General features: G+C 48.7%; 1 protein-coding gene across 3 annotated transcripts in view, besides 8 other annotated features; it reads right to left on the bottom strand.

Annotated features, from left to right (window-relative positions):
• CGN (cingulin) overlaps positions 1-10169 on the bottom strand; it is a 28523-nt gene extending 18354 nt beyond the window's left edge. For 2 of the 3 annotated variants that reach the window (XR_921902.3, NM_020770.3), the window contains exons 1-3: positions 8824-8952; positions 947-1833; positions 73-173 (exon numbers count right to left, since the gene is read on the bottom strand). Coding sequence is in view for 2 of the 3 variants with exons in the window: in NM_020770.3 (NP_065821.1) it covers positions 73-173; positions 947-1819 (974 nt within the window). In the remaining variant the exon portion in view is untranslated. Of the gene's footprint in view, positions 1-72; positions 174-946; positions 1834-8823; positions 8953-9338 lie in introns of those variants that run through there. The other variant, XM_005245365.6, reaches the window with a different exon arrangement.
• Positions 6417-6992: an enhancer, noted in NCBI's record as "H3K27ac-H3K4me1 hESC enhancer chr1:151485823-151486398 (GRCh37/hg19 assembly coordinates)". NCBI's record gives its function as "activates a minimal SCP1, AML or CMV promoter by ChIP-STARR-seq in primed H9 embryonic stem cells {active_cell/tissue: H9 hESC(primed)}" and the evidence as "EXISTENCE:reporter gene assay evidence [ECO:0000049][PMID:30033119]".
• Positions 6993-7569: an enhancer, noted in NCBI's record as "H3K27ac-H3K4me1 hESC enhancer chr1:151485246-151485822 (GRCh37/hg19 assembly coordinates)". NCBI's record gives its function as "activates a minimal SCP1, AML or CMV promoter by ChIP-STARR-seq in primed H9 embryonic stem cells {active_cell/tissue: H9 hESC(primed)}" and the evidence as "EXISTENCE:reporter gene assay evidence [ECO:0000049][PMID:30033119]".
• Positions 8432-8571: an enhancer, noted in NCBI's record as "active region_1722". NCBI's record gives its function as "activates an Ori minimal core promoter by ATAC-STARR-seq in GM12878 lymphoblastoid cells {active_cell/tissue: GM12878}" and the evidence as "EXISTENCE:reporter gene assay evidence [ECO:0000049][PMID:35858748]".
• Positions 8723-9298: an enhancer, noted in NCBI's record as "H3K27ac-H3K4me1 hESC enhancer chr1:151483517-151484092 (GRCh37/hg19 assembly coordinates)". NCBI's record gives its function as "activates a minimal SCP1, AML or CMV promoter by ChIP-STARR-seq in primed H9 embryonic stem cells {active_cell/tissue: H9 hESC(primed)}" and the evidence as "EXISTENCE:reporter gene assay evidence [ECO:0000049][PMID:30033119]".
• Positions 8723-9301: a biological region, named in NCBI's record as "H3K27ac-H3K4me1 hESC enhancer GRCh37_chr1:151483517-151484092".
• Positions 8902-9301: a silencer, noted in NCBI's record as "silent region_1323". NCBI's record gives its function as "represses an Ori minimal core promoter by ATAC-STARR-seq in GM12878 lymphoblastoid cells {active_cell/tissue: GM12878}" and the evidence as "EXISTENCE:reporter gene assay evidence [ECO:0000049][PMID:35858748]".
• Positions 9299-9875: an enhancer, noted in NCBI's record as "H3K27ac hESC enhancer chr1:151482940-151483516 (GRCh37/hg19 assembly coordinates)". NCBI's record gives its function as "activates a minimal SCP1, AML or CMV promoter by ChIP-STARR-seq in primed H9 embryonic stem cells {active_cell/tissue: H9 hESC(primed)}" and the evidence as "EXISTENCE:reporter gene assay evidence [ECO:0000049][PMID:30033119]".
• Positions 15948-16448: an enhancer, noted in NCBI's record as "H3K4me1 hESC enhancer chr1:151476367-151476867 (GRCh37/hg19 assembly coordinates)". NCBI's record gives its function as "activates a minimal SCP1, AML or CMV promoter by ChIP-STARR-seq in primed H9 embryonic stem cells {active_cell/tissue: H9 hESC(primed)}" and the evidence as "EXISTENCE:reporter gene assay evidence [ECO:0000049][PMID:30033119]".

Raw genomic sequence — 19081 nt, 5'->3', positions numbered from 1 at the left:
GAAGATGGGAAACAAAGCTAGAAGAAAAAGAAGGAGGGGTATGCCTCTGTTGTTGGGGGGGCCCCCACTCACCCCTCCCTCAGGATGCCATAGATGGTGGCCTTCATATGGTCCACACTGCCTGGTGGGGCTGCCTCCTGCTGGTCTCGAAGGAGGTCTGGAGTTGATTTGAACTGTTAAAAAAAAAGAAAAAGAAAAAAAAAAGAAAGAAAGAAAGAAATAGGAAGATTAGGCCAGAAGCATGCGTGGGGTTCAGATGGAGGAGAAGTGGCAGTCTCAGGTCAAGTCCCTTCAAGCATGATGAACAATCCTGAAATGCAGCAAGGAAAACATGCTGTGGAGGCCTGAGCAACAGGCCAGGGAGAGGCCAACACAGGATGCACCTCTGCACTGTTGCTGTAAACCAGATTTTCCTCAACAAACATCTCAACCAGCTGCAAACTGTGCCACAAGTGATTTGTCACTAATGGTAGTTAACATGCTAGAGTTTATAAATAATTTACTTTTAAAACAGACTTACGTTTCTCTCAAAGTAAAGTCACTCCCTCACTTACTTACATTCCTGAGTAGGAGAGAAAGGTGTGGAATTTTGGCAAGAGCACCAAGGAAACTGCTCTTATCCTCCAAGCCCGCCTTACATATTCTGCAGACCTTGCAAATGCTGGTGACTGAGCCATAGTTAATGGTTGTGGCAATGACAACTAGGTCCAAACTTGTGAATAGTGATTTTATAGCTTGCTCCATTTTCTTTAGAATTTTACCCATGGAAATATCCTGTGCATGTGAATATCACCTATTTTGTGGACAGATACAGTAGAGAACAAAAGGCAGAGAGTTTCTGCCTAGGCTATTTGAATTAGCAAGGAGGCTCATGGCTGGTGGGTAAAAGCTGATGAGAAGGGAGAAGGGGCTGACATTTAGAAGTCAGGGAGGGGCTGGGTCTGACCTGCAGCATGGTGGGGTCCTGTGCACTCCTCCGCGGCTCCTCAAAACTCTGAAGGACCCAGTCCTGAGTCTGACGAGAACGGCTAAAGCCACTGAGAGGACTCAGGTTCTGGCTCTGGGCTGGCTGCTTCGAAGTGCCCACATGGTTGTCATATTTTGTGCTAGAGGTCCAGTGGTTGGTGGACTGGCGCTCCCGTTCCTCAAAGGTGTCCCGTGGGAGGCGGCTGTCCAGGCTCTTGCTCCGTTTGCGCTGTTCAGGGGGTAGCATCCGTGTTCGGCGGCCAGTCCGACCCCGGGCCTGGCCTCCAAGTTGACTGTCAAACTTGTTGATGAGTGAGTCCACTGAAGACAGGGGAGCAGTGTCAATGGTGCTACCTGGGGAAGCCACTTTCGGGGCTAGCTCCAGCATGCTGTTGCTTCTGTTACTAGGATCCACTGGGCCAGGGCCTGCCAGTGAGGCCTGGGAGTGGGAACGGAGTAGCTTTCCATTCCAGTAGGCCCCAGGCTCCTCATCAGATGTGCTGCTCTGCGAGGGGGCAGGAAATCCCTTGACCTGAGAGTAGGGGTTCTCAGGGAGTTCCAAATCTGAGCTCAGAGCTCCTGAGGCCCCTTGGTCATTGGCCCCCTTGATTTGGACCCCAAAGGAGTCACCGCCTTTCTCCCCACTGTTGAGCACCACAAAGGGCTGCCCAGCGATTCCCTGCACACGCACAGCAACCCCGTAGGTACTGGCTCTTGCATCCTTAGCTGGGCGTCGTCCACCTCGACGTAGAGTGCCCATCTCTGCACCACTCACTGGCTCTGTGATGAAGCGAATCTGGACTCCATGGTCTACGGGGCCCCGGGGCTCAGCCATGTTGGGTGCCTGCTCCATAAATAGGAGGAGTCCTAGAAGATGAAGAAATGAGTTTAGGCTGAGAGACTTCACTAGAAACTATGAAACTTCTACCTGCGGGCTGACTTCCCTGTCAGTTCCTACTAGATAAACCACTGATTCTCAGACTAACAGAAGGCCCCTGGAGAGCCTTTTAACATACCGGTTGCTGGACCTAACCTCCAGAGCTTCTGATTCAGTAGGTCTGGGTTAGGACTTGAGAATTTGCATTTCTAACCAAGTTCCCCAGGTGATACTGATGCTACTGGTCCAGGTACCACACTTTGAGACTCACTAACCTAAAAGAATCCACTTCCTCTGATACAGCCCTGGGGAGCTAGGCTTTGTTAAAAGTTTAAAGATTTTGCTTGATGGCCAGGAGCAGTGGCTCACACCTGTAATCCCACCACTTTGGAAGGCCAAGGCGGGTGGACTGCTTGAGCTCAGGAGTTCAAGACCAGTCCGGGCAACATGGTGAAACCCCATCTCTACAAAAAATACAAAAATAAACTGGGCCTGGTGGTGCACACCTGTAATCCCAGCTACTTGGGAGGCTGAGGTGGGAGGATCACTTGAGCTTGAGAGAGGCTGCAGTGAGCAGTGATTATGCCACTGTTCTCCAGCCTGGGTGACAGAGTGAGACCCTGTCTCAAAAAAAAAAAAAAAGATTTTACTTGATCTTCATACATACATATAATACCACCATGTGGCCAGGTACAGTGGCTCATGCCTATAATCCCAGCACTTTGGGAGGCTGAGGCAGGTGGATCACCTGAGGTCAGGAGTTCAAGACCAGCCTGACCAACACGGTGAAACCTTGTCTCTACTAATAATACAAAAACTTAGCTAGGCGTGGTGGCGCATGCCTGTAATCCCAGCTACTCAGGAGGCTGAAGCAGAAGAATTGCTTGAACCCGGGAGGTGGAGGTTGCAGTGAGCCGAGATTGCGCCACTGCACTCCAGCTTGGGTGACAAAAGCAAAACTCTATCTCCAAAAAAAAAAAAAAAAAACACTGTGTGCCTTCTTCCCTTCCTCCCACCAAGGGAAGGCAGAACCCACACCCTGCTGAGCAGATACCTCCATCTCACTGGAGAAAAGGGGGCCTTCTCTCCCAGAGCTCATTTAAAATATAGAAGACCTCAAAGTATATCATCCCACTTCTGGAAAGAAACTTAAAAACACTGATAGCAGTGATGCCTTTGAGGTGGAGGAACTGAGGACTAGGAACAGGGATGGGAGAGTTTCTATTCTCTGGAAGAGCAGAAAGGAGTGGACATTCTACTGTATATCTCTTATGTCCCTTTTGAATTTGGAACCACGTAGATGTATTATCTATTCAAGAAAAGGTTGTGTTTTTTTTGAGACAGAGTTTTGCTCTTGTTGCCCAGGCTGAAGTGCAATGGCGTGATCTTGGTTCACTGCAACCTCTGCCTCCCGAGTTTAAGCAATTCTCCTGCCTCAGCCTCCCGAGTAGCTGGGATTACAGGCACCTGCCACCATGCCCGGCTAATTTTTGTTTTTAGTAGAGATGGGGTTTCACCATATTGGCCAGGCTGGTCTCAAACTCCTGACCTCAGGTGATCTGCCCGCCTCAGCCTCCCAAAGTGCTGGGATTACAGGCATGAGCCACGCACCCAGCCAAAAATATTTAAATGTGGTTTAAAAACTGTGCCACTCGGCCGGGCATGGTGGCTCACGCCTGTAATCCCAGCATTTTCAGAGGCCAAGGCGTGTGGATCACCTGAGGTCAGGAGTTTGAGACCAGCCTGACCAACATGGTGAAACCCTGTCTCTACTAAAAATACAAAATCAGCCGGGCGTGGTAGCGGGGGCCTGTAATCCCAGCTGCTCGGGAGGCTGAGGCAGGAGAATCGCTTGAACCTGGGAGACGGAGGTTACAGTGACCCAAGATCACGCCATTGCACTCCAGCCTGGGCAACAAGAGTGAAACTCTATCTCAAAAAAAAAAAAAAAAAGTGCCACTTTAAGGGGCCCCAGGTCAGGTAAACTTGTCTCAGCTGAGAGCCAGAGCCAACACCATCCATAGGCCAGCTTCCCAGGTCCACATTGCTAAAGCTCAGAGTCAGCAAATGGAATGTATTCCAGGTATGCTCTGGCTCCAGGAACTTGGGGGAGAGATTGTCTTCCAAGCAAATAAAAAAATTCAGCTTCCCCACCCCTTCTGCTAGTCTCCACCAGAGCCTAGCACCAAACTGGAGGATGAGCCTCTAACGTGCCAGACAGAAACACAAACATACCCAACTCAACCTCCCCATGGAGTTCTGGGCCAAGGAAACTTGGCAAGGCCCCTTTCAGGGACTGTAAAGTGCTAGCAAGCCAGGGTGAGATGAGAAGGGAGGGGAAGGGATGGGAGAGGCAGAGCTACAGGTGACAAAGGGCTTGGTGGGGAAGGTCTATCTGAAGAAGAGCATTCTTAGAATTCCCAGCAATTCTCAAGAGAAAGGAACAGGGAGAGAAGAGCCCTTTATTAGGAATTGTTCTTCATCTTTTTGGCCCTGGGACTCCATGAGAAAATGATGAAAGCAATACACTCTCCCTGAGGAGACAGCACATCCAAACTTTTATCACCCCATCTTAAAAGGCTTGTGAAGGCAGACAGGTAAAGTAGTTCTCCAAACCACTCATCCAGTAGAAGAAAATGCACTGGGCTAGAGTCAGGATCTGGTCTGGAATCCTGTCTCTGCTCTTCACCTGATGTATGCAACCTGAGGCAAATCACAACTTTTCTGGTGTGGTGGCTCACGCCTGTAATCCCAGCATTTTGGGAGGCCAAGGTGTGTGGATCACTTGAACTCGGGAGTTTGAGACCAGCCTGAGCAATATGGCAAAACCCCATCTCTACAAAAAATACAAAAAACTAGCCGAGTATGGTGGTACACACCTGTAGTCCCAGCGACTTAGGAGGCTGAGGCAGGAGGATCACCTGAGCCCAGGAGGTTGAAGCTGCAGTGAGCTGTAATTGCACCACTGCACTCCAGCTTGGGCAATAGAGTAAGACTCTGTCTCAAAAACAACAACGACAACAAAAAACCCACAACTTTTCTGTGCCTCAGTTTCCTCATCTGTAAAATGGGTATAATGATAATACCCCACAAGGTTATTATCTGTGAGAATGAGATAATAAATAATTATATGGGCATATACAATGATAAAAAAGTACCAAGTTATACCCTTAAGATCTTTGTACTTTATTTAGGCCAGGCGCAGTGGCTCATGCCTGTAATCCCAACACTTTGGGAGGCTGAGATAGGCAGATCACCTGAAGTCAGAAGTTCAATAACAGCCCGGCCAACATGGTGAAACCCCACGTCTACTAAAAATACAAAAATTAGCTGTGCGTGGTGGTGCACGCCTGGAATCCCAGCTACTGGGGAGGCCGAGGCAGGAGAATTGCTTAAACCTGAGAGGCACAGGCTGCAGTGAGCCGAGATCCGCCAGCCTGGGTCACAGAGCAGGACTCCATCTCAAAAAAAAAAAAAAAGATGTTTGTACTTTATTGAACTTGGGTTCTAATTTAATAAAAAGGAGAGAAAAACAAGATATTAAACATGAAAACATTTAGCATGTGACTATCACAAAGCTGACAACAAATATCATCCTTCACACATGCTACTTTGTCCAACAGGCACTTTTGGCTTCACCTGGTTCATAGAAAGATGTCACTTCTTCAGAGAAGCCTTCCCTGACCACCACTCCCACAAACAAGGTCAGTTCTCACAAATCAGCCTCCCACAAACCAGGTCAGATCCACGTTATACGCTCTATAGTTGTCCTTCAGCAGGTTTACTCCAGTTTATATTTATACATTTATTGGAGTAATTATTTCCTGTCTGTCTCCCCTACGAGATAATAAGCTCCTGGAGGGCAAAGACCATGGCTAGCAGCTAACCACTGTGTCCCCAGGTGTTTGGACACGTGGTAGATGTCAACAAATATTTGTTAAAGGCTGTATCCTGAACTAAAGCCCACTTGCACAGCAGTGGGGAGATTTGCCCAGGACAAATCTACTTTGCCTCAGTAACAGGACCTCTTAGCAACAGGACCTCCTCCTGGTCCAGACTTGCTGCCCTATGTAGTCATGATCTTAGAACCAGAAGTGCCTAGATTGCCAGCTCTCAGAAGCCATATGATTTATTCATGATGCAGTCTACCCTGTCAGTACATCTACTGATCTTCCAGATCCAGGTCAAGGAGTTCCCAGCCTAGGCCCAGCAGAGGGCACAGACCCTTGAGCAACAGCACTAAATTATTCAGAGGCAGTGTTGAACACTCCCCCAGGTCCCAGGTTAGGTTAACTCCCTAACCTCAATCACCTTCAGTCCAAGGACATGTGGATCAGGGGCCAGGAGGGCTGAAGGGATCTTTGGGGTGGGTCAGAAAGCAGGGCTCTAAATGATTCAACATGGAAAACCCGAAACCTACCCGCCTTTGGTTACAGAGGACAGTGGGGCGGGACCAAGGCAGCAGGGCAGCTCTGAGGCCTTGCGTAAGCCCCAGAGACAGGCAGGTAAACAGTGATCAAGGGCCAGGCAACATGGAGTCCAGGGCCTGCGCCCTCACCAATGCCTGACCCTACTTTTCTCTCCCCTATCACATGTCCAGGGCTCTCCTCACCAACTGTACTCCAGGAAGAGACCAGACCACAAGTTGATTCAGGTGCATCTGTCTGCTTCTGCCTTTCCTGCCTGCAAGGAGTGGGAGAACACTCTACACCTGTACCAGACAGCCACTTCTCCCTGAGTTACTCATTAGCCTGCCCTGCCCCAATTCCATCACCTCTGGCCCAGCCATATGCATCTGGTTTCCAACTAGGAGTGACAGGGTATCTGGACTTCTGGCAGGAAGTGGGGGTGGGGTGGTTTCGGGTGTGTGGAGGAAGGACTGATTCACATAGGGCCAGGCAATATGCTTGATGCTAAATAATTGGCAGATTTAGAAAACGGGAGAACTTGAGGTATAGAGATTAGAATCCCCTCAGAGGAAACAAGGAAAGCAAATGGTCGAAATAGAAAAGGACAGCTCAGTGACCTTGATGATTTGGCACCCTTTTTCTCATAGTTAGAGATAAGAAGGTTCCCCGTGGATCCAAAAAGAATCCCCCAAGTGGACTCCTGCCCAGGTCCGCTGAAAGAGCAGAAACCTGAGAGCCAGGCTACAGCTGCTTGGCCAGTAGGGAAAAAAACACAATGAGGAACTGGGCCCCTGCAAACTGGCTGGACTGGTTTGAGAGGCAAGGGGAAGGGGAGGGCCGGGGAAACTACACTGGCAGCTTGTAAAGCAGACCAGAGAAATTCCACACCACGGAGGAGGCAGAGGGGCAAGACCACAGGCAGGGGCTCTCCAGCCTTGATGGCAAAGCCAAAGCTCTGAAGGAGAGGACAGAGGGCAGGGAGGGAACAGGCAGGAGGAGCAGATGAACAGGAACCTGGTGACAGGCCAGTATGTGACAGGGAGACTTTGTCTCCCTCCACCCCTCCCTTTGAGGTTCCCAAAGTTGCATTCCTGATCCCACACTTGCTTTGGCCACCTCCCTGGTCCTCAGTCCGCCCCTCCCTGGCACAAAGAGAAGAGCCCTACACCCCCATCACCTCCCACAAGGGGAATGGCATGCAGGCCAGCCTGGGAAACACAGGAAGGGTTCTAGGAAGCCAGAATCCTCTTAGAGTCGGGCAAATCTCTGGATTAGCAGTCCCCCAGAGCCAGCCCCCAGACTCCCAAACATCCAGGATGAAAGAAGAGATGCATAGGCATGTGTAGGCAGCCCATCTACAAACATAGCGGTTGCTAATTATTTCCCAATTACAACAACCTTCCTCAGGCAGGGCTTCAAAGGGGCCAAGCTAAGGTTGACTCTAGTTCCTTTACCTGCCTAAGGCAAAGAAATTTGCCTCCAGTCTTGTCTGGGCCCCAAGGTGCACCTTTCATCTGTCCTGGGGATTTGGAGTTGTAATTTCCCTAGTCTCGTGGTCTCCTGATGAGTCCTGCCTATTTCCTGCCCCAATAGTGCCTGCTGCCATTCTGACAGCCACCGCAGTTCAGGAGTCAGGGATGCCTGGAGGGCGTTCAGGGAGTAATGGGGATTCCTCCAGACATCAAGGAAATTGGTTGGGCTCCCAAACCTCATCCAATGGTCCCCATCTAGAACCACAGAAAAAATATGTGGGTACTTGGAGAAAGGGTTTGACATCCGCCCCCAGAAAGGGGCCTCCTGAGAAATAAGTATTAATATTTATCAATATTTTGCAGGACCAGGCAGGGCTCTTTGCTTCCTCATATCCCTCTCTTGGGGAGTACTCTCTCTCTCTCTCAAGAGGAAGAAGGAACGATTCTCCCTGGCACGAAAGCAAAGGACACAAAGTGAAAGCCTAATGGTTGTACACCTGGTGAAGAGATGAGGGTGCCCTCTCATCTGCCCCTCAGTGTCTCTGATTCGCAACTGCCTTCGGCCGGAGGTGAAGGGCTGGGGAAAAAATCCCACACCTCAGAGTCATCTCAAAGCCACCAGGGTGCTGACAACGGCCAGCTGAGACCGCAGGACGCAGGAAAGACCCTCAGGCGAGCAGCACCTGCAGATGCCCTCCCCTGGCGAGTCTGCACCTCAGGCAGCAGCAGTTCCCGACTCAGCTGGAACTAACTCCTTCCCCGCGCCACCGCTGTCTCCAAGAGAAATTCTGCCCCTAGGGCTGGCGTCTGACCTCCAGAGACATCTGGCGCTGAAACGCTTTCATGCGCTGGGAACAGCCTTCGCCCCAGGTGCCCCTCGCCTGGCACCTTCCTAGCCACCTGCATCTGGCACCTCAGGGTAGGGGTCGGCTCTTAATCAGTACCCCACCCCGCCCCAATCTCCCCTCCTCCCGTCTCCCACTCGGCACCGGTGCCCTGGAGAGGGGCATCTCACACCGCCTCGATGCCTGCCCCTCAAAGGTACCCCTGAAGGCTCGCTTTCCTCTCGGGTGCCCTGGCCCGCACCGGGTCCACTCACCCTAGCCGGGCTCCGCGCTCCCAGGCTTGCGTTCGGGCTCGGGCTCGGGCTCGGGCTCGGGCTCGGGCTCGGGCTCGGGCAAAGCAGCACGCGCAGCTCCGGCCCTCCCCCTCGTCCTCGGAGCTCCCTCCTTTCTCTCCCTCCCACCAACCTGTTACTCCGCTGCGGAGCTCCACCCCCGCGGGCCGTCAGTGCCCGCCCCGCCTTTCCCCGCTCCGGTTGGTCCGCTTCCCGTAGGGGGCGGGGCCTCCGGTGCGGGGACCGGGACCCGGGGTCTCCAGCCGCGAAGGGCGGGCCAGGTCACGTGGACCCACGGGCTGCGGAGCGTCGGGGCGGGGCGGCGAGGGGCGCGGAGGCCATTTTGGGGGCGTCGCGGATGGTCGCGAGTGACCGCCGGCCAAGATCCCGGGAGCCGTCGGCCAGAGCATCTTCTGGGCTCTGCTAGAAAACAGCCTCCTGCCTCCCGTTTACTCCAAGGGAATCGCCGGCCAGGGCCCTTTCTGTCCTTCACCTACCTCTGCAGGAACCAGAATGCTCTTTCGTCACTTTCTGCAGAAAATATCTCCGTTGTCCCCCGACGTCAGAGCCTCCTGCACCTCAGCTCGTCTCCCTTTTCCCTGACCCGAACCAGAACCCTGATCTTGGATTCTCTTTTATCTTGTGGCCTCCGCAATCATTTTGCAGCCTGACATCTTTTTCTATGTAATATTTATCACCTTCTAGTTAATAACATAATTTTAAAAATCATTTTCATCATTTTGCCTCCCGTCCTACGATAAGCTTCACCAGAGCAAGGATCTCTTGTTCTGTGCCTTGCTTCACCCCAAACGCCTACAACAGGGACTGGTACATACTACATGCTTAATAAATATTTGTTGACTGAATGAATGGAAACCGGGGACGCAAATTTACCAAAATAGGAATGACCTTCGTTCTAAACTGAAAGGGACTCAGTTGTAAATTTACCTCAGAGTTAGCCTCTCAAAAAGTAGGGATGCTGATCCCAGTTCCTAGAAAAGAGTAAAAACTAGGGGCTCTGCAAACTGCAGGACCGCTCATACCAGCTGCAGTTAAAACAACATTAAAGCTGGCATCCTAGCTGTTAACCGTTGAGATATGTAAAAAAGAGATTGACTTCGTTTACGTTGCTGGGCTCCGGATTTTGTTCTCATTTAGTTACAACAAATATTTACCCTGTATCTATTGGAGTAGAAGAGGAATCTTCGATGCAGCACAGATTCCGGTGTATTCTCGGGAGCTGGTTTCCGCCCCTCCCCAAGCCTTCAAAAGCTAGGTGTGGGTCCTACAGAGTAAAGTCCACTTACCAGCTCCTCAGCTGGGATGCAAAGTCTCTGCATTCCAGAGCAAGCTGTATATAAGGATTAGGGCCATCAAACCGGCCTGTTCCCTGGGGAGGAACAGCAAAAAACATGTAGTGGGGGTGGGGACAGAAGAGGAAATGTCCTTCCAGGAGCGCACCTCCTGAACACTGGGTGGCTTTTAAAAGACTTTTTTTTAAAAAATTTTTTCTTATTTTTCTTTTATTGTGCAGCCTCCTGAACCAGAATAGGTTCAGAGACACTCCCATGGGATGGTTTTTGGTTTGGGTTTTTTTTGTTGTTTTTTTTTTTTAAGACGGAGTCTTGCTCTATCGCCCAGGCTAAAGTCCAGTGGCGCAATCTCGGCTCACTGCAACCTCCGCCTCCCAGATTCAATTGATTTCCGGCTAATATTTTGTATTTTTTAATAAAGACAGGGTTTCACCAGGCTGGTCTTGAACTCCTGTCCTTAAGTGATCTGCCCACCTTGGCCTCCCAAAGGGCTAGGATTACAGGCGTGAGCCACCACACCCAGCCTGTTTTGGGTTTTTTTGTTTTTGTTTTTGCTTTAGTTTTGTTTTTTTCATTGAGACGGAGTCTCACTCTGTCACCCGGGCTGGAGTGCAGTGGTGCAATCTCTGCTTACTGCAGCCTCAGCCTCCAAAGCTCAAGCGATCCTCCCACCTCAGCCTCCTGAGTGGCTGGAACTTCAGGCGCCCACCACCACACCGGGCTAATTTTGGCATTTTTAGTAGAGATGGGGTTTCCATGTTGTCCAGGCTGGTCTTGAACTCCTGAACTCAAGCGAACCGCCTGCCTCGACCTCTCAAAGTACTGGGACTACAGGAGTGAGCCACCACGCTCGCCCCCACCAAGTGTTTGTAAGGAGATTTTTTTTTTTAATGTGGGATATTAAATTGACTCAGATATTGGAAAGGCGGAAGCGCCTAAACTCCCCTAGATAACACCTTAGCAATTAGGATACTTAGTATATTTGTAGTAAATACCAATTTGGGTGGTTACCCAGCACCATGAACACGAATTACAAGGATAAGTGGGAGCCTCTGAGTCACCGCCTTCGTCATCTGTTCTTCAAGGAAGCACTCAGTCTGAGAGGTACATCCAGGCACAAGTGACAAAGGCGACACCCTGGTCTTTTTCCAGAGTTCAGAAGACAGGTGATCCCTCTCCTTAAGAAATGCTACAGGGCCAGGCGTGATGACTCATGCCTCTAATCCCAGCACTTTGGGAGGCCAAAACAGGAGGATAGCTTGAGCCCTGGAGTTGGATCGCTTGAACCCAGGAATTCAAGACCAGCCTGGGCAACACAGTGAGACCCCATCTTTATAAAAAATAATAATAATAAAATTTTTTCAAAAAAGAAATGGCAAAATTGGCCAGTTTATAAATACAGCAAAAACAGAATTTATAGCAAATATAATACCCAGAAAGAAGAAATAACACTGATAGATGTTAAAGAGAGAAGTTTTATTTTATGAAATGGGATAATAGAGAAAGTTTTAGGTAAATTGCAGGTTTCATCAAAGAAGTGGATTTGCCATCCTCGCTAACATGGTGAAACCCCGTCTCTACTAAAAATACAAAAAATTAGCTGGGTGTGGTGGTGGGCGCCTGTAGTCCCAGCTACTTGGGAGGCTGAGGCAGGAGAATGGCCTGAACCCAGGAGGCGGAGCTTGCAGTGAGCTGAGATCTAGCCACAGCACTCCAGCCTGGGCGACAGAGCGAGACTCCATCTCAAAAAAAAAAAAAAAAAAAAGTGGATTTGGAACCAAATTCCTCTCCTGCAATTCTTTCCTGAATTCTCCAAGATTCACTGATACCACTAGCAACTCTACTGAATTGTTCTCTCAAAGATCACCCGTTTAAGGCCGGGCACGGTGGCTCATGCCTGTAATCCCAGCATTTTGGGAGGCCAAGACAGGCGGATCACGTGAGGTCAGGAGTTCGAGACCAGCCTGGCCAACATGGTGAAACCCTGTCTCTACTAAAAATACAAAAATTAGCCGGGCATGGTGGTACATGCTTGTAATCCCAGCTACTCGGGAGGCTGAGGCAGGAGAATCGCTTGAACCCAGGAGGCTGAGGTTTCAATGAGCCGAGATTGTGCCATTGCACTCCAGCCTGGGCAACAAGAGTGAAACTCTGTCTCGAAATAATAATAATAATAATAATAATGGAAATGAGGTGATGCCACTAGCTGAAATGGAAAGGACAAGAGACAGGAAGGATTTGAGGAGGACCTAGAAGAAGAGTATGATAAATTAACTCTGGAACCTGATATTTTAAAGAAGCATGTGATGCCGGGCGCGGTGGCTCACGCCTGTAATCCCAGCACTTTGGGAGGCTGAGGCGGGCGGATCAACAGAGGTCAGGAGTTCAAGACCAGCCTGACCAACATGGAGAAACCCTGTCTCTACTAAAAATACAAAAATTAGCCGGGCGTGGTGGCACACGCCTATAATCCCAGCTACTCGGGAGGCTGAGGCAGGAGAATCACTTGAACCCGGAAGGCAGGGATTGCGGTGAACAGAGATCACGCCACTGTGCTCCAGCCTGGTCAACCAGAGCAAAACTCCGTCTCAAAAAAAATTTTAAAAAAGCATGTGGTAAATCCACACACACATACAAATGTCTAGCAAACAACTGGAAATGAAGCCTAGAAAAGAAATCAGGGCTAGAGACAGAGCTAAGAATCATCCTCATAGATGAAAGTTTGCTAAGAGGACTACAGAACAAACTGTGAGAAATAAAGGACAGATGAGGAGTAAAAACGGGATCATTGTGGGGTTATTGAGAAAGGTAAGTAAAGAAGTTCATGCAAGAGAGGTATTCAAGTAGGAGAAGAGACTGGAATTTGGCATTTCGAAGTTATGGGTGATCTTCCAGACGTCAGTTTCAGCAGTGTGATAGGCTTTCAACTCAGAATGCAATATAAGAAGTGTATCAATAAAAAGGAAAGAGAGAGGGTACCTTGACTTAAAGGAAAACAGGGTAAAAGAAAGGGCAACTTCTATGTTTGGTTTTGGGGTTTTGTGGGGAGACTGGTGGGGGGGTGTTTGGTTTTTTTTGAGACAGGGTCTCACTGTCACGCAGGCTGGAGTGTAGTGGTGCAGTCACGGCTCACTGCAGCCTCAACTCCTTGGGCTCAAGCGATCCTCCCACCTCAGCCTCCTGAGTAGTTGGGACTACAGGTGCACATCACCACACCCAGCTAATTTTTGTATTTTTTGTAGAGAAGGGGTTTTGCCATATTGTCCAGGCTGGTCTTGAACTCCTGAGCTCAAGTGATCCACCCGCCTCGGCCTCCAAAGTGTTGGGATTACAGGCATTTGCCACTGTGCCCAGCTGGTTTCATTTTTAAGAGGGAGAGACTGGCTGGGCGCAGTGGCTGACACCTGTAATCCCAGCATTTTGGAAGGCCAAGACGGGCAGATCACGTGAGGTCAGGAGTTCAAGACCAGTCTGGCCAACATGGTAAAACCCCGCCTCTACTAAAAATACAAAAATTAGCTGAGTGTGGTGGCACATACCTGTAATCCTAGCTGCTTGGGAGGCTGAGGTAGGATAATTGCTTGAACCTGGAAGGCGGAAGTTTCAGCGAACCGAGATTGTGCCATTGCACTCCAGCCTGGGCAACAAGAGCGAAACTCCATCTCAAAAAAAAGAAAGGAGAAGAAGAAGAGACTTGGTTATGTTTTAATAAGAAGCTAGAAAAGGAGACAAGATTCAAGAACTAAGATGAGATGGGAGAAAGAGGAAAAGAGAAAAAGAGAACAGCCAAATAGTCAAAACTTGGAACTTAGAGGAGAAGGTGAAGTCTCTGTTCTGGAACTTAAATTGGAAGAACAGATGTGAAAGAGTGAGGAGTTGAGAAAGTTGAGGCAGGTAACTAGTTCACCAGATTACTGGACCTGCCAAAGAGAAGTGATTCTCAGGGCTGGAGAATTTGTTAAAAGGTTTTGGAACTGCTGGTATTATCTACAAGCCTAAGGAAGAATATGATAAATGCCAAATCAATGGCACAAATGAAGTGTTACTGGAAAGCTTCCCTTTCAACTAGAATAGAGTGATTTATAATCTGGGCCTTGAAAAAACAGGCAGGGGAAAGGAAGGAAGAAAGACAGCAAGAAAACGTGCAAAGGCCCTAGGGGCAGAAAAGCATCATGTCAGTTTAGCGAACTGGAAGGTTAGCCTGTAGAGCAAAGGGACAGAGAATAGTGGTAAATAAGATGATAGGTAAATTCTGGGGTAGATTGTATAAAGCCTAGAATATCAGAATAAGAAATGTGGGCTTTCGGCTGGGCTCGGTGGCTCACACCTGTAATCCTAGCACTTTGGGAAGCTGAGGCAGGTGGATCACCTGAGATCAGGAGTTCAAGACCAGTCTGGCCAACATGGTGAAACTCTGTCTCTACAAAAATACAAAAAAATTAGCCAGGCATGATGGCGGGTGCCTGTAATCCCAGCTACTCAGGAGGCTGAAGCAGGAGAATCGCTTGAACCCGGGAGGCAGAGGTTGCTGTGAGCTGACATCGCTCCATTGCACCATTGCACTCCAGCCTGGGTGACAAAGAGAAAAGAAAAGAAATGTGGGCTTTCACAGTATTCTAGCCTGAGCAACAGAGCTACACTATGTTTCTTTAAGAAAAAAAAAAAAGAAAGAAGTAAAAAGAAATGTGGGCTTTATTGGTAGGTAATGGAGAGCTATTAAATGTTCTTGAGCAGGAAAGAGGCAGTACTTCAGAAAGTCTCTATGATAAATGCAATGGTAAGGCTTGATTGAGGTAAACCCTAAAAACCACAGTGGTGGCCGGGCGCAGTGGTTCACATCTGTAACCCCAGCCCTTTGGGAGGCTGAGGCAGGCAGATTACCTGAGGTCAGGAGTTCAACAACATGGTGGCCTGGCCAACATGGTGAAACCCCGTCTCTACTAAAAATACAAAAAATAGCTGGGCATGGTGGTGGGCGCCTGTAATCCCAGCTACTCGGGAGGCTGAGGCAGGAGAATCGTTTGAACCCAGGAGGCGGAGGTTGCAGTGAGCCAAGGTCGTGCCATTGCACTCCAGCCTGGGCAACAGGGCAAGACTCTGTCTCAAAAAAAAAAAAAAAAACCACAGTGGTGGCAAAAGGAGGGAAAAGCAAGGACCACTCACCCTGATGCTCTTTTAGCGTATTACTCATCATTTCTCTCTTGAGCTTTGTTTACAAATACTTTGCTCTTCAACAGCAATAATAATATGTAATTATACTAACACTTGGGGCTTTTCCTGGCTAAGTACAATTTCTATTCTGGTTAGGGAAGATAAGAAATGGTCACTGCATATACTCACTTTATATACATGTCCAATCTTTGAGTACAGGACTTCCAAGAGTCCCCAAAAGATATTTCATTCTTTGTGACCCATGTCGTCCACTCTTTTCTCAGTTTGACTAGGGAGGCAGAGCTACAGAGATTTCATGAATGGACATCACTGAGGTAGCGTACCAAGTCAGGAGTCAAGATATCTGTATTCTAATTTTACTTCTGGGAAAGCTGTACTCCTAGCCAAGTCTTCAAAATATTTGGGGCTCTGTTTTCTCTGAGAATTATGAAGATGATCCCAGATTTCATAACTGTATTGTTTCCTTTGGGTTTCTTGAAGAGGAAAAAGTCATGTTCTGCCTCCCACCTCTTCCTTTTGTTATCAGCTAGGAACGTGAGTAAGTGTAGCCAAATCTAGTACATAAAGGATAATTGTTTGGGACAAAGCATTCCAAGCAACTTTTTTCAGTTTAATCAGAGTCACTCCCCGACAAGGGAAAGACTCATTTCCAAGTTCCTTGTATCTCACCACACCCTGTAGCCCCTATTGTCCTAGCTGCGCATCTCTAACTCTCTGAGCAGCTAAATTCCAGTAAGTTCAAAGTCTCTAGTATATATTCATTTTTTTGTTTGTTTTTTAAATAGTAGAAATGGGGTTTCCCTATGTTGGCCAGGCTGCTCCTGAACTCCTGGGATCAAGCAATCCACCCACCTTGGCCTCCCAAGATGCTGGAATTACAGGCGTGAGCCATAGCACCTGGCCTTCAGTCTACATTCAAAATAAGAATATCATTTAAAAGGAAAAAAAAAAAAAGAGCAAGACAGGCCATATATTTCCAATTCCCAGGCCAGGCATGGTGGCTCAAGCCTGTAATCCTAGCACTTTGGGAGGCTGAGGCAGGTGGATCACCTGAAGTCAGGAGTTCGAGACCAGCCTGGCCAACATGGTGAAATCTCGTCTCTACTAAAAATAAAGAAAAAAAATTAGCTGGGCATGGTGGCATGTGCCTGTAATCCCAGCTACTTGGGAGGCTGAGGCACGAGAATCGCTTGAATCCGGGAGGCAGAGGTTGCTGTGAGCCGAGATCGCACCACTGCACTCCAGCCTGGTCAACAGAGCAAGACACCATCTCAAAAAACAACAACAAAAAAAGAAATTAAAAGGAACAGATTCCTTCGTGTAATTCTTTTTCTGGGTTGTTAAAACGCCATTCTGAGGAGAGAGCCAGTTTTCCTCCACACACCCAAACAACAGCTGATTCTACTTCCCATCTCGCTTTCCTCCTCTCATCAATGAAGGGGACAGAAGCTTGGCAGCTCAAACCTATACACACATCCCGCAAGCCCTGAGACTCCTCCAGTTCTCTCACAGTCCACTGTGGCAAAGAGTTTTAGCAGAATCCCATTAATTGCTGATTTGCTCAGGTTTTTTATCTGAATCTTTTTCAAAGTATAAGTCTCATAATACAGAGGCAAAATGACATATGGAAATAGCACTGAACTCCAAGACAAAAATACCTGATGTGGCAGCCATGACATCCCTTAGAAAGAATCTGCCATTCAACTGCCAGAAAGCAATTCACTGTCAGCCCACAGCTGCATCACCTTTGGGATCCACTACCATGTCAGAGCTAAGGCCACACTCTTCCTGAACAGCCCCAAGCCAATGACTGACAGTGTGGTTACTGGGACCTGGCCGTTTCTGCCCACTGTTGATTTCTCTATGTGATAACCTTTGCCCTGGTGCTTTCCACTGGGTAGACTGCCACTTGGAAGGATCTGCACCACAGCTTGAGGTTTTTCTTGCCCGATTTTGCTTCTGCCTTCCTTTACTTTATCAGGATAGGGAAGCCTATCCAAAGTCTTTCTCTGCCCATTCCTGCCTCCTTCTTTATCTTTCACAGGTGTTGCCAGCCAGTAAGCCTCTTGCACTCCTAACTTTGTCTCAGTATCTGCTCCCCAGACCACCTGAACTGACTCAGGTGACCACTCCAGAAGTGGTCTGAAAAAGCGAGCAGTAAGATAGGTTTAGGGAACTGCAGTACTCACTGCCTGGCTGGCAACAAGAACCCCTCCTGGATGTTGTGGGGTACAGGTAGTCTCTGGAACAAGATGGTAGCCAAGTTGCTAAATTTTCACTGATGTGAAATGAGAGAATGCTCCTGTGGTGGAACAGTTCAGGCATAGGGGGTAGGCGGAGGGACAGCAGTGAGTATAGGGACAATGGAATTGGCTGGCTGTTATTAAGTTGCACTGGGCCCTGCCAGGAGAAAATGAAAAGCTGAGAGTAGTTAACAAACGTTGGAAATTAACTGTGAAGGTCAGAGGGCCTTTCTGATGGCTTACAAAGAGGCCCTTATCTATAGCAGTGAGAGAGCAAAAAAATCTGAAGACCAAACTCGAGGACTTCAATAGAGCTCCCAGAGGCAGATCTGCAATCAAGGTCAGGACTCTGCTTGGGAAAACCTGGGACCCTAATACGTGGAATAGAAATATCTGGGCAGGTCCCCCCAAAGATTCTGGCTTTCTGCACTCCTCTGAACCCTCAGAGCCTTAAGACACTGCAGAGGCCTCTCCCCTCCCATGATCTCCTGACTGTGAAGATCTTAATCTTAAACTCTCATGGGTTAAATTACAGCATAGTCTGGTAGCTAAGGACATACTAGGCCTAATAAGGAAAGAAAGGGACTATAACCCAAAGTATCCTGCAAGAACTGGCCAACGTTTAGTGGTAAGAGTAGGGAAGTACCCATGGGATTGGATTTTGACAGTGCTTAATCAAGGGGATGAAATATAAAAGTGGATTAAGGGCAAGTTTTTTAACTTGGGGACCACTTTCTTGGGATAGAATATAACTTCCTGGCCGGGCACCGTGGCTCACACCTGTAATCCTAGCACTTTGGGAGGCCGAGGTGGGCGGACCACCTGAGGTCGGGAGTTCGAGACCAGCCTGACTCACATGGAGAAACCCCGTCTCTACTAAAAGTACAAAATTAGCCAGGTGTGGTGGCGCATGCCTGTAATCCCAGCTACTCAGGAGGCTGAGGCAGGAGAATTGCTTGAACCCGGGAGGCGGAGGTTGCGGTGAGCCAAGATCGTGCCATTGCAGTCCAACCTGAGCAACGAGAATGAAACTCCGTCTCAAAAAAAATAAAAATAAAAAGGAATTTAACTTCCTGGTAAGGACCTGCCCCTAGTGGCTCCTAGGAGCATGGAGGAAATGATAATGGTTGCTGAGTGAAGGTCAAATGTCTGTATTGCCAGAGCAACTGGGGGAAGAAAAGATTAAATGGCTCAGCAAAACGGGCATGATAGAGTGAATTCTAAGAATGCTCCATAGAAGGCCCGGAGGAATCCCTTTTTTTTTGAGATGGAGTCTCGCTCTGTCACCCAGGTTGGAGTGCAGTGGTGCAATCTCAGCTCACTGTAACCTCTGCCTCCCGCGTTCAAGTGATTCTCCTGCTTCACCCTCCCCAGTAGCTGGGATTACATACGCCACCACGCCCGGCTAATTTTTGTATTATTATTATTATTATTTTTGAGATGGAGTCTCGCTCTGTCACCCAGGCTGGAGTGTAGTGGCGCCATCTTGGCTCACTGCAACCTCCGCCTCCC

This window comes from Homo sapiens, chromosome 1 (genome assembly GCF_000001405.40).
Source record: "Homo sapiens chromosome 1, GRCh38.p14 Primary Assembly".
Classification (NCBI taxonomy): Eukaryota; Metazoa; Chordata; class Mammalia; order Primates; family Hominidae; genus Homo; species Homo sapiens.
Note: the sequence above shows the minus strand (reverse complement) of the source record. Positions and strands in the feature narration are given on the sequence as shown.